The 15,877-nt window shown below is 35.3% G+C and overlaps 2 long non-coding RNA genes across 6 annotated transcripts in view; one reads left to right on the top strand and one right to left on the bottom strand.

Annotated features, from left to right (window-relative positions):
• The window catches only part of LINC02945 (long intergenic non-protein coding RNA 2945), a 308,805-nt gene that overhangs the window by 246,254 nt on the left and 46,674 nt on the right, over nt 1–15,877 (top strand). The window lies entirely within an intron of this gene.
• LOC105377369 (uncharacterized) overlaps nt 1–15,877 on the bottom strand; it is a 77,408-nt gene that overhangs the window by 57,680 nt on the left and 3,851 nt on the right. For both annotated transcript variants that reach the window (XR_939077.3, XR_939076.3), the window contains exon 2: nt 15,711–15,791. This is a non-coding gene — a long non-coding RNA (uncharacterized LOC105377369). The remainder of the gene's footprint in view (nt 1–15,710; nt 15,792–15,877) is intronic.

Here is a 15,877-nt window from a genome sequence, read left to right as displayed (position 1 = left end):
ATACCTATGTAACAAATCTGCACATTGTGCACACGTACCCTAGAACTTGAAGTATTTTTTTTGAGATGGAGTTTCACTTTTGTTGCCCAGGCTGGAGTGCAGTGGCGCAATCTCAGCTCACCACAACTTCTGCCTCTGGAGTTCAAGCGATTCTCCCATGTCAGCCTCTCGAGTAGCTGGGATTACAGGTGTGCACCACCACATCTGGCTAATTTTTGTATTTTTTGTAGAGATGGGGTTTCCTCTTGTTGGCCAGGCTGGTGTTGAACTCCTTACCTCAGGTGATCCGCCCACCTCAGCCTTCCAAAGTGCTGGGATTACAGGTGTGAGCCACCTTGCCCAGTCTTAAATACCTCTTTCTATATATTTCTCCCTACAAGATTAGTTAAATTAAAATTGCAATTTCTTGTTTACCTGAAATGGCTGAGGATTAGTTGTTTTTGTTCACTGAATATCTCATTGATATAAGAATTACAATCAATCAATTCACAGACTGCTACTTTTCTTAAGTGTATATTTGCACATCACAGTTATGGCAAATGAAAATTTAATTTGATAATTTGGAAAACAACTTGAGCCCTCTTATTCTTCACGATATTCATCTTAAACATGAAATGTTATTTACTTCAGGTACAACGGCAGATTGTTGAATTAACAACATAAGTAATTAAAGTAAATAATGAAAAGTAAGTTTTTAATTTAATTTTTTTTCATGCCACACTTTCTGGTGCAGCAAGTCCTCTTCCTTGGCCACCTCACTAAACTGATCTCTCGCCATTAAACTCTTGTGAGGTCACATCACAAGCACTGTGTGTGATTCAACACCTCACTCTTTGGATATATTAAAGCTCAGATTACAAATGCAATGCCTTTGTTTCTGCAAAGTTTGAATATTGACTATAGCAATACATAGCACAAGAGAGTGGTTATGTTAAACTAGAATAAGAAACATGACAATATTTAGAAAATTTAACCTTCCAAGTGTTTTTTTTTTTTTGGTAAGTGTGTAGCATTATACTTCTGAAGTTATTAAAGTTTAAACCTATACAAAGGGCCGGGCACAGTGGCTTACACCTGTAATCCCAGCACTTTGGGAGGCCGAGGTGGGCAGATCACCTGAGGTCATCAGTTCGAGACCAGCCCGGGCAACGTGGTGAAACCTCTTCTCTACTAAAAATACAAAAATTAGCCAGGTGTGATGGTGGGCGCCTGTAATCCCAGCTACTCGGGAGGCTAGGCAGGAGAATCACTTGAACCTGGGAGGTGGAGGTTGCAGTGCGCAGAGATGGCACCATTGCACTCCAGCCTAGGCGACAAGAGCGAAACTCGATCTCAAAACAACAACAACAACAAATGAAAAACAAACAAACAAAAAACTTTACAAAGACCTTTGGGACTTTCATACCAGATAATAATGTTGTATGCTTCAATTAAGTCTTGCATGATACCCAAATTTGATCAATTAACAAAATTACCTGAAAAGTTTACTAAAAACACAAATTTCTGGGCTTCCCATAATTTCTTCCTCATCTCCACCAGAAATTCTGAGTCTGTCAGTCTTGATGGAACCTACAGTCTATCTCTATATATTTCTATCTATATCTGTACCTGAAGATATCTCCGTGTGATTTTGATGATGAACCAGATATGGTAACTCCTGACCTAGAAGAGCATGTCTGGAAGTGTGTATGAAAGAACATTAGTCTCCCAAAGAGCTTTGCAGCGAATGGAGTCTGCAGTGAGATAAGATCAAGAAATGCTGTATCCAACACATCTGGAATATTCACAGTGCGTACTAACATAGCATAGGCTCTGACACGTCCTGTAGTTTATGAAACACAAGCTTTTGCTTAACCCATAGTTTATAAAGCTATTTGAACAGGTAATCCCATTTTCCCCTACAGCAGCTGTTAACCCTCCTTGAAATGGAGGAGCTGGCATGCTGCTTTCAAACTCTGTTAGACAACTGACATTCATCAGGCTGTTCCCATATAAAAGATAAAGACTATTCTTTATAGAAAACAGAAGTTTTTGAAATATTTTAATTCCTCATCCAAGCCCAAGTTTATCTGTATACTCTCTAAGGTAAAGTTCAATCATTATTATTTTCTTAAAGATTTTCAGAGAATTTTTATACTTGAAAAAGGTAAGAATATTGCACTATAGTGATCAAAATATATTTGTAACGCTGTATCTAGGGAATTGGCATTTTATTAAGATTTTGGGGGTGCGATCCTTTCCTAGTATTTCCACTATTGGACTTACTATGAGCTCTGTAGCCTTACTCATTGTAACTTTGTTTGCTAACAGCACACGGAGCCTTATTTTAAAGGCTGTTTTATTTTTGTCAGCTATCACAATAGCTTCTATTTCTTGTCTGCTGGTTGCCACAAGTGTGGCAAGATGAATCCTAGGAGTATGATCCAAACCCTTCCCTGTCACTATCCTTACATTTCAAAGAAAACTGGTTTCTTTCCCTATAAAAAATGTTTCCAGTTTATCTAAAAGTCTGCTACTTTCACAACAAAGAGTACAGAGATAACAAGAAGGCAATACTTAATTATTTTGGTTATTTCCTAGAGGTAGCACTCTTTCTCTCTTTCTGTTTTCCTTCGCTTGCCCCTTGGTTTTCCTTTTTGGTCTTTGGCCTCGTTTCCTTTTTGGTCTTACCTACCATCATTGTTCCTCCAAAGCCACTTTCTTGTTTTGTTTGTTTATTTACTCTTATTTCCACTTCCATTTTACATTCCCCCTTTTTTATGGGCAGTCATTCTAATATATTTAATGTGTATCCTTCTGAACATATGTATTCTTTTAAATGTATTTTGTTGTTAATGTGTATATTTTTAAAAATTTACATAAGTGGCATTGTGCTATAGTCATTCTTCTTTACAGATGTTTTTCAGCACTCTATTTCATGTGTCTCTTTTAGCTGCTGCATAGAGCTTCATAATGGTCACTATATTGTATGTGTTCACTCCCCCGAGGAAAGACCTCCACTCCCCATCATCATCAGCAACACTGTAATGAATATCCTCATGCTTTCCCACCTATATAACTGTTGGAATTTCGGTGTGACACATACCCAGGAAAATATGTAACTTCATTGGATACTGCCAGTGCACTCTTCTCCGGGCTGGCTGATGGTCTCCCATCAGTAGTGCCCACCATGCATACCCCATATCATCATATTCCCATCAACATTTGGCTTTTTATTGCTTTAAGGCTTTTGCTAGTCTATAGAGTATAGACTGAAACTTCACTGTGGTTTTAATTTGTACTTCTGATTAATAATGAACTTGAACATCTCTTCATTTTCTTATTAGCCTTTTGGGTTTCCTCTTCTCTAAATTGCCCATGCACTGATAGCTGTTTATTCTTTTTCTATGAGGTGCAGTTGATTAAATTTGAAGACTTATCTGTAGCAAAAATTAATTTCTTTATGTTGTTTATTTTTTCAGATTGTTGATCTTATCACTGCATTTTGCCCATTTTTATGTCAGTTTATTTTTTTGTTGCAAAATCAAATTTTTTTGCCTTAAATTTTAAGATGCCTATTTTTGTTGTCTCTTTATCTATAAATGATAATAATGCAGATCTTTCCTTTTTCCCTAGTCCGTAATGAAAATATCTATAGTACAACAAAAATTCTCTGTAGACACAGCAATATAAGTGAAAATATCAATGGAGATATGTTGTAGAGATCTTACGCTGTCTTTACTGTCTGCCAATCAATGGTATTAATACTAACATGTTTGTCCTAAAAGGAAAATAATGTAATAGAAAACCAAGGCAAGTTTTGCCTGCTCCCGCAGTGTCCATAGTGGGCATTCCATATGCACTTGTTGAAACAGAGAACCTATAATAATTCTTTCCCTAGAAAGGTTCAGAAAGAAGAGTTGATATTCTCCCCTCTAAGGATAACTCTTCCACCTCTCCTAAGTCATTGTGATTTGTGACTGAGGAAGGCTCACAGAAATGGGATTCAAAGATGGAGAAGAAAGAGAATGAATAACACCAGGAGCCAGCCGGCTGTGAACACATGTCTGCTTTTCTCATGTGGCAGTGCTGAAGGGAAGCATGTTCAGAGGGATTCTTCAACACTGAATCTTTCACTTCACACATGTTATTAAATTTTTGTCAAGACAGCATTTCACATAAAGTCTGTCTGGTTAGACCACACATCTAACACAGAACAACTCTTAACAATCTTTAGCATTTGAGCGTCTGTGAGGATTTCTGGAGCTCATGGTATTAGCACTAATTGTTTTGTTGTTGTTTGCTCTTAATTGTGTGAAAGATTAAGTATACAGGCTTCTATTATTCAAGGTGTTTATATACAATTGTTAGGGAAATTGAGATGCAGAAAGATGAAGTATTTGGCAAGATTGCAAGGTGTTCCTCACAAACATATCAAAGAGTAAATGCCACAGTTCCTGAACCTTACCTCTTGTTCTATTAACTAGAGGCTGCTTTCTCAGTAAGGACGAGAAGTCAGCAAGACCTGGTCATATTATTAAAGTATTGAACTCGAAACAAGATGGAAGGTTATGAAGGTGACATTGTCATATTTGTTAATCTTCTTTGGCTACTTTGAATTTCCATACTTGACTCTACAAAAACACTTGCTACCACGTAAAAGATCATTACCTTACACTTACTGCTCATAGTTTTTGTTCTGAAATTTTCTCCTTTACCAGTTTTTAAAGCTTGATTTTCTCCTGATCCTCCTGACCACTAGTTCTGTTGCTTTTTCTCGTTTTCTGCCTCAGCTTCTGTTTGGGTCCAGTTTTCAATATTTCTCTTGCTTTTCCGTGCTCTATCCCACCCACTGTGTGGCATTACATTTAATAAAACTAAGATATTAAATACTAGTTAAATTTGACTCAGAAGATTCTTTTGACCCTGAAAACACAAGCAAGGGAAATGATCCACAGGTATTGTCCCAGATATTCAGAAGAAATCAGATAATTTTAAAATTTCAATTAAATGTCTAAAAGGCTGACAACAAATGTGAGTAGATACCTCAAAAAAGTATCATTAGTTATAGGAAAATACGGAATTAAAGCCACAATGAGAAACCATTTTATACCTATTATAGAATGGCTAAATAAAAAGACAGACAATACCAAGTGTTGATGAGGATGAAAGCAAATAGAACTTTCATACATTGCTAGTGAAAGGATAACACAATACAATCACTTGGAAAACAGTTTGAAAGTTTCATATCAAGTTTAATATATAATTACCACAAGACCCATAATTCTACTCCTAGTTATTTACCCAAAGCAAAAAGAAAACATATGATCACACAAAGATCTGTACAGGAATCTTTGTAATAGCCTAAAACTTTACTCATTATAAGATTAAAAGCTGAAGTGTACTCAACTTTATTCATAATTTAAAACTAGAAGCAGCCCAGATGTTATTAACAGGAGAATGAATAAATACATTGTGGTTTATCCATATAATAAAATATCACTTGGCAAAAAAAGTGAACAGACTTACTAATACAATACGAATGAATCTAAAAAACATTATCCTGAACAAAAGAAACCAGACACAAAAAAGTACATACTGTATAATTCAATTTATATGAAATTGTAGAACAAACTACTCCATGGTGATAGGAAGTAGAGCAATGATGGGAGGGGACCAGTTGCAGGGGAATTGTCTACCAAGGGTACCAGAAAACTTCTGGGGCAAAATGGCAATATTGATATTTTGACTGTGGTGGTGGTTACATGGATGCACATGCTTGCCAAAACTGATTCAAGTTTAGATTTTAAACGGCATATTTTATGGCATGTAAATTATATCTCATAAAGTTATATCATATCTTATATCTCATAAAAAATCAAATAAACCCAATGGCAAAAGGGAAAAGAAAAACCCTTAATTAAGGGTTTGTAGGGATTTGGGGTTGCCGACAAAAGATGTCATATGAAAATGTGCAGTAAATTCGGCTGTTTTGTGACCAAAGTACTTTGTCTTTGAAAAGTGGAATCAATGTGATGCATTATATGTCATTTTGTATTAGAAATTATTCAAGGCACTCTGTGAGCATAATCTCATTTCATGTTCAAAACACTCCTGTGAAGTGAATATTATTAGCCTTATTTTAAAGATGGTACATTTAAAGGTAAACAGATATTTTGAGGGGGACTTATTAAATGTAGAATATAATTAGAACATAGACAGCCCATTATATGATATTATATGTCCATATGTTAACTAGTACATTCTCTTATCTTTCCTATAAGTAGAAAAAAGTTGATGAATCAGGTGGAACAAACCATTTATATTCTTCAGACATATGATTTATATCTGAGTATAAGAGTAACAATATTAAAAATATTTAAAACACTTTTATTATAGTTTGACATTTTTTACAGAGAATTTAGTACATTCATTGTATTTTATAATATTAACCAAAGTGGACAAATATACAATAAATGGAACCTCAGGGTTACAGTAGTAATTCAAAAGTTAATTGAAAACAATTTAAGGATATCATACCATTTAGATAAAAGGTAAAATTCTATAAAATTGTTTCTTTTGTATCAGAACCATGAAAGACTTAAGATTTCTTAGCTCAGAAATGTCATCTTCTCATCATCGATTTCTCTGCATTCTTGACAGTAACTGCTGAACAGATTTTTAAAATAACTTTTCTATTTCTTGAATTCTTGTTACAAAGAATTGTTCATTTAAAAAGAAGTTTAATATAACAAGGATCAAGTTAATAGGTAATACAGGGGCAGTAAATTTGCATAGAACCCCAATATCACAATATTTTGAATGCTATTCCTTACTCTCAGGGCAGCTGATATGGGAAATGTCTTTGATGCAATTTCCCACGTGGAGTGTTTGGAATCTTTGGGTTCAGTGTTCTTCTTCTCTGGGCTATATACGTCATGGTCAGGCCCTTGGGGAATCACTCAAAACTGTACTGTCATCAAATAATTCTTAGTTTTTTGCTTAGCTCCTGCATTACTCTACTATTTACTTATCACCTCAAACAAGGGATAGAAGAATGCTAACCTTTCTACAATTTTTAATATGCATTTCCTTTGCAATTCAGTCTCAATTTCTCTGTCCCTTTATTAGAAAGTGTTGAGCTCACCTTCAGTTTACGCGCCCTTAAAAAGATCTCCCACCTACCCACATACAGATTCTTACTCTCTTATTTTTTACCTTCCTATAATCTGAATAATAAAAGTGTAATTTGGTCCAGTAACTTGACAGCTAAGTGAGAGACATAGTTTGAAATAGGTATGCATAAAAAGCAGTTCTCATTTTAGTTTAAGGTTGATTATTTCTAACTTTTTTTTGCCTATAAGTCTCCATTCATAATGGTAGTAGAACACTAAAGGACATAATGAAAATGAAATATTTTATGAAATATGAGCTAATGATTTGGGCATTCTCTTAAAAAGATGAGCTATGTGTGGCTGTTCCATAGCTACCGAGAAAGAGCCCAGCCCATATATCACTGCCACTTAGCTGTTACGTCCAGAGATCAGTGTGCCAGCTGCTTTACTGGGTGGATGAGATGATAGAGCTGCCCTCTCAATCAGAGGAAACAAGACATAGACGGCATTCTAGAGATGTTTGTTTCCAGTTACTGTTTCTTTGTGGAGGATAAGACTCATTAGATGAGAAACATGAATTTCTTATTTTTATATTGTGAATCCTTGCTTATCAATTTGTACCTCCTGGGTGAATTGAATTTGCTGTGCTGAAAAAACATAAATTGCAAGAGTTTTTTGTTTGTTTGTTTTAGCCAGGTTTATCAGAGCTAAAATAATAATGCATCTCATAGTTAACCAATTCCCGTCTTTCAGATCAGGTTCAGCTTGGAGCAAACTGCAGTAGTGTGCTTGATTAGTCATTCCTGCAGGTAAGCAGGATCCAAACACCAGAATTTCAGGCATCCTGTAGTTTAGAGTTTCCTATTAGGTGCTTTTTTCCCCTGTATTCTGACTAATTAACTAGTTTTGATGTTTGACGATCTCCTTCGTGGTCAATGGGACCTATATTTTGGGAGATAGAGCTAAAAACATGCCACAAAAAACACGTATGTTTCAGCACCTAACAATCCTATAGTGACAAACCCATTAATTTCTCTGCTTGTAGCTTGTGACTTCCAAACGGAGAGTCAAAAAAATAAAATCTTTCTTTTCTTTCTTTCTTTTTCTTTTTCTTTTTTCTCTTTCTTTTTTTGAGTTGCTCTTGTTCCCCAGTCTGGAGTGTAATGGTGTGATCTCAGCTCACTGAAACCTCCACCTCCCGAGTTCAAGCAATTCTCCTGCCTCAGCCTCCTGAGTAGCTGAGATTACAGGCGCATGCCACCACACCTGGCTAATTTTTGTATTTTTAGTAGAGACAGGGTTTCGTCATGTTAGCCAGGCCATGGCTGACCTCAAGTAATCTGCCCGCCTCAGCCTCCCAAAGTGCTGGGATCATAGGCGTGAGCCACCATGCTCGGCCAAAAAATAAAATCTTTAATAAAACTACCAAAAAGTTTGTGACCATACTATTTGGGACAAAATATGTAATGATGGCTACATTAATGTGTATTCAGGTGAACAATGACTGGAACGTTAAAGCAAAAATGAAAAACGTTTCATTAAGATGGTGAGATGGTAATGATTAAAGAATTTTAAATTTTATTGCTATATCTTTTTTCACCATAGAGATAGTAACCTGTAAAGCCAGATTTGCAGTGACAGCCCTTTTATTTTCAGAAGTTACAATTTGATTTGATACTTGTTAACCACAATAAACAGACAAGCATTTGGTTTTATAACTGTTAATTGTTTGGCCATAGAACACTAAAGTCATAGTAACTGGCATTTGTGTCACTGTAGCTTGTATTTGTGTTGCTTTTTCAATGTTTTAGTAAAATTACTAGCACTTTTCTGTTTACTTCAATAGCTAAATATTTTCAAGGGACTCCAGTCTTCCTCATGTGACAGACTAGTTTCTATATCTGTATATCTTTATGTTTTTTGATAGCTATAATTGCATTTTTCTATTTTAAAAAGTCAATGGTTTAAAAAAGGGAACTATACAAGATAGGTAAGAAACATATTATGTATTTCTCCCTAATAGAAAGAATGTACAGTTTTTACTTTGCTTTGCATGTTCTCTGTCCTAAGATCAAGTTCTAATTTCAGTTTCTCAAATTGTTAGTCTATGACAAAATAAATTGTAGGTGACAGATTCATGTATCACTTACACTCCTAATTCACCGACGAAGACCTAATATAATTGCAGACATTTAAGAGCTGTTTTGAGAAGGTAGGGAGGAGGGACACTATTCATTAATGTTTCCATGTTATCATCTCAATCAGGAAGGAGAACTTATGATCCAAAAGGGATCTTGAAAACAAGGCCCAGCCTCTTCCATGGCTTTAGGAGGGTCCAGTCTTACTAAAGTCAAAAGCTGAGTTTGCTGCTGTAACCTGTGAAGGCAGTAGGAGCAAAGGGCCTAGATCTAATTGGTATTTATTGCTGTCATTGTTTTGGATTCCAGACCTTTGATAAACCTTTCCCAGTGAAGCAAACCCATGGTTAACTCTGCAGCAGTGAGGAAGCTATGGAAGCAGGACTGCAATTAACCTTTACTGGGAAAACAAAACATAAAAAAACTAAAAGGAAGGCTTGGTTTTTGCAGATGCAATTTTAAATGACAGGTGGCAGGTGAAAACATTACCCTTAAAATGAGAACGTATTTTGTATTCGTACACAATAACCAGGGAAAAGACATTATCAAAAAAGGGGTAATTATTTATATTGAAGTGAAGAAAAAAGGTAGAATGTAAAGGACAAAATAGTTATAATTAAAAAGTAGATTGCTCTAATACTGACATTCAAATATATGTTGTCAGGTGGATTTTATTTGGGTGACGATATTCAAAGAGTACCAAAAACCTAACCCTTTCCTCAAAGCTTTTTCTGTGTTGTTATCTTTTAGAGGTACTGTTAAATAATGGGAAATACTCTGTCTTAAGAAGCAGCAAGTTGTATGTAATTGTCAGTTGGCAAGACACTTGCTCTAAGCCTCAATTTCAGTATCTGAAAAATTCAGAGACATCTTAACAGTCTGCCAGCTGAGAGGTGTGTCGCATTATATAGTGACACCATGTGGGGCTGTAAGCTCTACAACTTGAATGCTTTTTAGCAGAGTGTCTTTGGTAAAATCCCTTAAGAGACCCTGCTTAACATGTTAGTCACAACGGATGGCTGAAGAAAGTTCACTAGAGGATGATTAAGGGAAATAAAGGACAAGAGAGAAGAAGCAAGCTCTTAACCTAGAAAAAACAGTATTTGGAGGTGGGGTTCATGTGACTTGGACAAGGTGGTTGTATTAGGGAGAGAGTCCAGGTTAAAGTAAAGAATGGAGGAAGAAAAAAATCAGAAAAGGAGCAAAGGTAAGAAGAGGGTTGCACATGAATTTGTTAGGGAGGTTGATTTAAGAGGTGGGATGAGGTATCAGAATTGATGAGTCAGCTCTGTTGGTAGGAGTGGGATTGGCCAAGCCTCCCTCCCATCTCTTACTTGAGCAGTTACCAGTGTCCATAAGTTATTGTGCATAGTGCTTGTGGCCTGACTAGTTCCGATAAATATAGAGGTTTATAAATTTGGAAAGCAGATCTATCTTCCCATCTTTGTTCCAAAGCATTTTCCTTTCTCAGAAGTTATGCTTTGAATTTAGTGGCTGCTATGAAGGTTGAACTCTCAAGGGAACCAAGGCAATGTTGTATGTGGGACACGGTTGAAACCTGCGCCAAGGCCCAGAAATTCTGATACTGTGAATGTCTCAGTGCCTGCCTAGAACCTCTGGGACTTGCTGGTATTGAAGACTCTCAGCTGGAATATATTCTGCACATAACCATTTTTCATTGTGTCTGTTTCCATCAAATTACTTGTCAGGTTGGGAATATTCTGTTATTAGCCTATCCCCTGGTGTTGTAGTATTTATTCTACTTTTCTAAACCTGAAGCTATTAATGAAACAGTATATGGAGTGAAGCTTTGCTTCTATCTTCTCCCTTAAGTCAAGCCATGTTTTTTAAGCTTCAGAAGTTCTTGGAAACTTTATCTTGGGACATTCATTACTTGAAATTGATTTTCTATACAAGGGAAGTCCTCCTGGATCTGACCTCTATCTGTTTTTTGTCTCATTTTTACATATATACCAGCTGTTGCCAGGTGGTGAAGAAGACAGACAATGAGCTTTTGCTGGAGATAATTCAAAGCATCACTTTTCCCAACTTTTATTTCTGAACTATGTTGATATTCTCGGTGGCCACTAAGGGGAGCCACATACCCATATTCTCTCAGGCTTAACAGAATCCTTTTATGAGAAAGGTGAGATCATATTCAGCTTGTGGCCAATTCAAAAAGTAAATTGCCAAATGCCCTTGGAAATAAAGCAGCAATTTAAATTGACAAATTCATGGGTTTAAAATTTAAGCAATACTTTTATTCAACTTTTCTTGCTTCTTTCTTCAGAGGATGTGGAAACTCATGCAATAAGACTGCATCTGTCTTTAGGGAGAAATGCATACTTTCAAAGCACTGTTCTAATTTCTTTCTTTTTTGCATGTATCTCTGAGGATAGTAGCTGTGAGACAGTTAACACTCCAAACATATTTGTCTTAAGTCATAAGTACATATTGCAGACATTAGAGCACCCATATTCTCTGTGAAGATTAGACAAATAGCATTAAAAGGCATATTTTAAATTTCATTGTCTTTGTTTTGCACCTCTTGGCTGTCTCCAAATTGAATTTATTTTTAGCTCCATCATCTAAAAACAATCTTAAGTCATAGAGTCAAGAGAGTATCAATACTGTGGGAAACAAAAAGATGAGTAGTGGAGAGAAATATCCCAGTCACTGCTACTCACATCAGTTTATAACACTGGTTATTCTGTGTACTGTTTCAACACAGTGATAAAAAAACTGAGAGAGAGTGATGAGATAAAATAAAGAATGGCATACCACCTCAGGAACTGAGACTTATTTTAAGAGTCTTCTTTTGAAGAATGGGGTCAAATCTATATTTAGAAATATTAGATGTGGGATTTAAGGAGGTTGTAAACCCAGTGACTTGAGACTTTGATTAGTGTGATGTAAACAGAAGGTGAGGGCCTCTGAGACCCTTTTGCATGATTTGCCTCAAGGAGAAACCCTCGTTTGATGAGACTGTGGTAGTGGTCTCTTCATTTTCCCACAATGCACTTTACTGAATTTCTTGATCTTGTTCCTGTTTCCATTTAATTGTGTTATGATCAAGTATCTCTTCAGGGAATAATAATTAAAAATGCTAGAATTTTAATCAGATTAATGCTGTACTAGATTTATGTAAACTGTGTACATTATATTTGAAGGAATAGAATCTTTTTAAAGGAAAAGAAAACCCAAATTGAACAGTATTGTAATTTTATGATCTAAAAGTGTATCTCAGTCAAACCCTTTTCTTTTTCTTGGTAATAAAAAAGTCATATCCATAATGTTTGCAACAAGATTTAATTTTGTAAGTCAATTTTAATTAAATAAGTGATTGGCAAATTGTTTATCATAATTGTCAATATATTATTTTTTCCTGCAAATCCCCTGAGTTCTAGGGAAAAAAAGCATATTATTTTTGTGAAGAAAGAAACAGGGGTGGCGAATCATTTTGGGGAAGTAGTTTGGGAGAAAACTGGCATTTGTTGAAAGTTTGCTGCGTCCCAAGCACTTTATATGCATGCATTTACTTATTCTTCCCAATAACACAATGAAGATCACACGTTTTACAGATTGGGAAACTCAAGTGCAGATGTTCAATAACATACACAAGCTTGTGCAGTGTTGGAGATGTAGTTAAAATAGGTCTCTGTTCCACCAACATCTATTATTTTAAGAAAAAATTATTTTTAATTTGTGCCTTTTAATTTAAAGTTTTATAGTTAATTTATATATTTTTGTATTAATTTAGAGTGATGTGTTAAACAGTCTAAAACAAATCCAAATTTTCTATGTGTGTCAACTTACATAGGGAAACTTGCCCTGCTATTCTTCAAAGGCTGTGCAGATTAATTGTTTAACTATCTTCCTTTTCCCAGAGTTCAGCCTTTTAGGTTTATTAAAATTCTCACCATGAAGAAATAAGTGCAGGTGTCTTTTCCAGGTGTCTGGTACTACCTTACTGAGCTTCATGTGTATAATTAAATTTCATTCTAATAACCTTCTTCTTCCAGTTTCCGTGTTGGGTACTATTATGATTTAGTGGTGATGGAAATCATACATGAATATCAGAGAAAGAATTAGAGAAAAATGTAATTTTTATTTCTTAAAGAGCTCAAATATTCCATTGAAGCAGGTATTTACCGGACAATAGGGAGAAGAAGGTCATGGTGGAGAAGGTAGATAAGACAATAAAATCTGTTTTCATTTCGGGTATGGGAGAACTATTCATGGAGGCCAGAATACTATAGCAAATGAAATATTTTTCTTTTATTCCCTTAATGTGTTTCTTGGGTCAGCATCTTACTGTTGTTTAACAAAAAGCTGTATTTTAACAAATGATAGCTTAGCAATAAGTAGAAAGTAACAGATATTTTATTAAGGAATACACATTATTATAGTTAAGAGAAATAATTTTAAATGACAACAAATTTTGTTTCCAATTTGGCTGGATCAGTGTCACAGTCTGCTCAATGAAATAGCCAATATGCCAACCATGTATAAAGATAAATTTTAAATTAGACACAAGAAGAGATTCAAAAGGACCTAGATAAATTTTTCCCATGAGCATATTATTTTTCATGTCCTCCTTTCACTGTTCTAGGAACAAAATTGTCTTGAATAATTTAATCTGGCTTCCAAAGGTCAATTATTTGCAGCCAACAGTCTAGCCTCTGAGACAGTCTACATTATGTTGTTTTTTAATCAGAGAAGAACTAGAAAACATATTTTCATAATGTTTGTAAATTTACTTCTACTTTACTGAAGAGTCAAGACAGTCCTCATTTCTCCCTAACGTTTTATTTAAAAGAAAACTCCAAATTTCCTTTGTCTCTCTTGGCACACATTTACTTAAAAAAAAAGCTATTTGAAAATAAGTTGCAGACATCATGACACTTGACTTCTGGATCCTTCATCATGTACTTTCTAAGAACAAAGGGCTTTTTCATACCTAACCACAAAATCATTATCACACTTAAGGAAATGTACAGTCATTCAGCAATTTATTTACTATCCAGTTCATTTTAAAATTTCTCCAATTTTTCCCTGATAAGAGTTCCATGATGGTCTTGGGGGTTCTTTTCAATAGCTTTACAGAGCACTTCTCAGCAAGTCTAAGTTAGCTCCATGGAATAAGAGGCTAATACCAGCCACTGGACTCTGGAGGTTTCGTATTTCTACTGAGACCATTTCTCAACCTATGAGCTTCCAGTGTTGCATGGTTGCATAGATTATCCCTGCCTGGGCTACATCCTATAAATATATAGAACCTTATCAATGAGAAAGGGACTCTCTCTACTGGAACATTAGCCAGGCACTCAGAGGTCATGTATGTCCAGTCTAAATTGTGAGATTATAAGAGTTATGGGGAATGCATGCACTCTGCTTCAAGTCTTTCACTCAATAAACCTTATTTTATATCTTAGTACTATGTGTCTGCGCTGTCTTTGAATTGCATCCTCCTGAAACTTAAACAATTTCTTTTTTACTTTGTGCACAATCCAATCAGGGCTCACATATTACATTTGTTTTTCATTGCTCTTTAGTCTTATCTAGAACAGTCATTCATTTAAAAAATTTTTTTTTTCCATGGCAGAGCATTTTGAAGTCTATGACAATTTTCTCTTAGAATTTCACATATTCTAGATTTTTCTGATTACTTCCTCATGACATTATTTAACTTATTCTTCCATCTCCTATATTTCCTGTAAATTGAATGTTTGTTGAAAAACCTGATAAGATTAAATTTAAACATTTGTGACAAAAAGATTTTACAGATGATGTATACTTTGTATTACATTATATCAGGGAGCATATAATATAAAGTTATCCAACTATTAGTGATTGGCTGAGTGCTAATCGTCAGAATTGCTACTGAAAAAGGCAAAACATTTTTGCTATTGTTAATTAATATTCAATGTTAGATGATATTTTGGCACTATATGACTATCATGCTACACAACTACATTCGACCTAATGGTTTTAACTCCTTGCAGTAATCCTTGTCTGAATCCTTTATTACATTTGGGGGTTATAAAATGATGATTCTCTAATTCTATCATTTCTTCTACATTTATTAGCTGGAATTCTTTTATAAATAAGAATGTAATTCTCTGCTTCCCACTTTTTAAAAATCAGTATGGACTCATGGATTTTTAAAATCTATTATATCATAATAAATTATTATATTTATTCTTATAGATGGTCAAATTTCCCTAAATGGTCAACTCAATTGGAGCCCATTCAAGCTGTTCCTTTGATCTTTGACATGATCCATGTGATAGGCAGCCTCTAGAATGGTTTTGGATAATCCCTGCTTCTTGGTATTCATGACCTTACATAATTCCTCTCCTTGAGGGTGGGCTGGACCTAGTGATTCACTTCTACCAAAAGAAGACAGGGCAAAAGTGAATAGTATGTAATGTCTGATGTTAGGTCATAAAAAGCCTGTGGCTTCTGTCTTGCTTACCTTCTCTTACTCTCTTGCTTGCTCTCCATAATGAAAGTGAGGTGCCATATTGTAAGCTTCCCTATGAGGAAGTCCATGTGGCTGGAAGATAAAAGAGGCCTTTGATCAATAGCTGATTAGTAACTTAAATTTTCAGTCCAACAGCCATGAGGAAGCAAATATTGTCC

This window comes from Homo sapiens, chromosome 4 (genome assembly GCF_000001405.40).
Source record: "Homo sapiens chromosome 4, GRCh38.p14 Primary Assembly".
NCBI lineage: Eukaryota > Metazoa > Chordata > Mammalia > Primates > Hominidae > Homo > Homo sapiens.
Note: the sequence above shows the minus strand (reverse complement) of the source record. Positions and strands in the feature narration are given on the sequence as shown.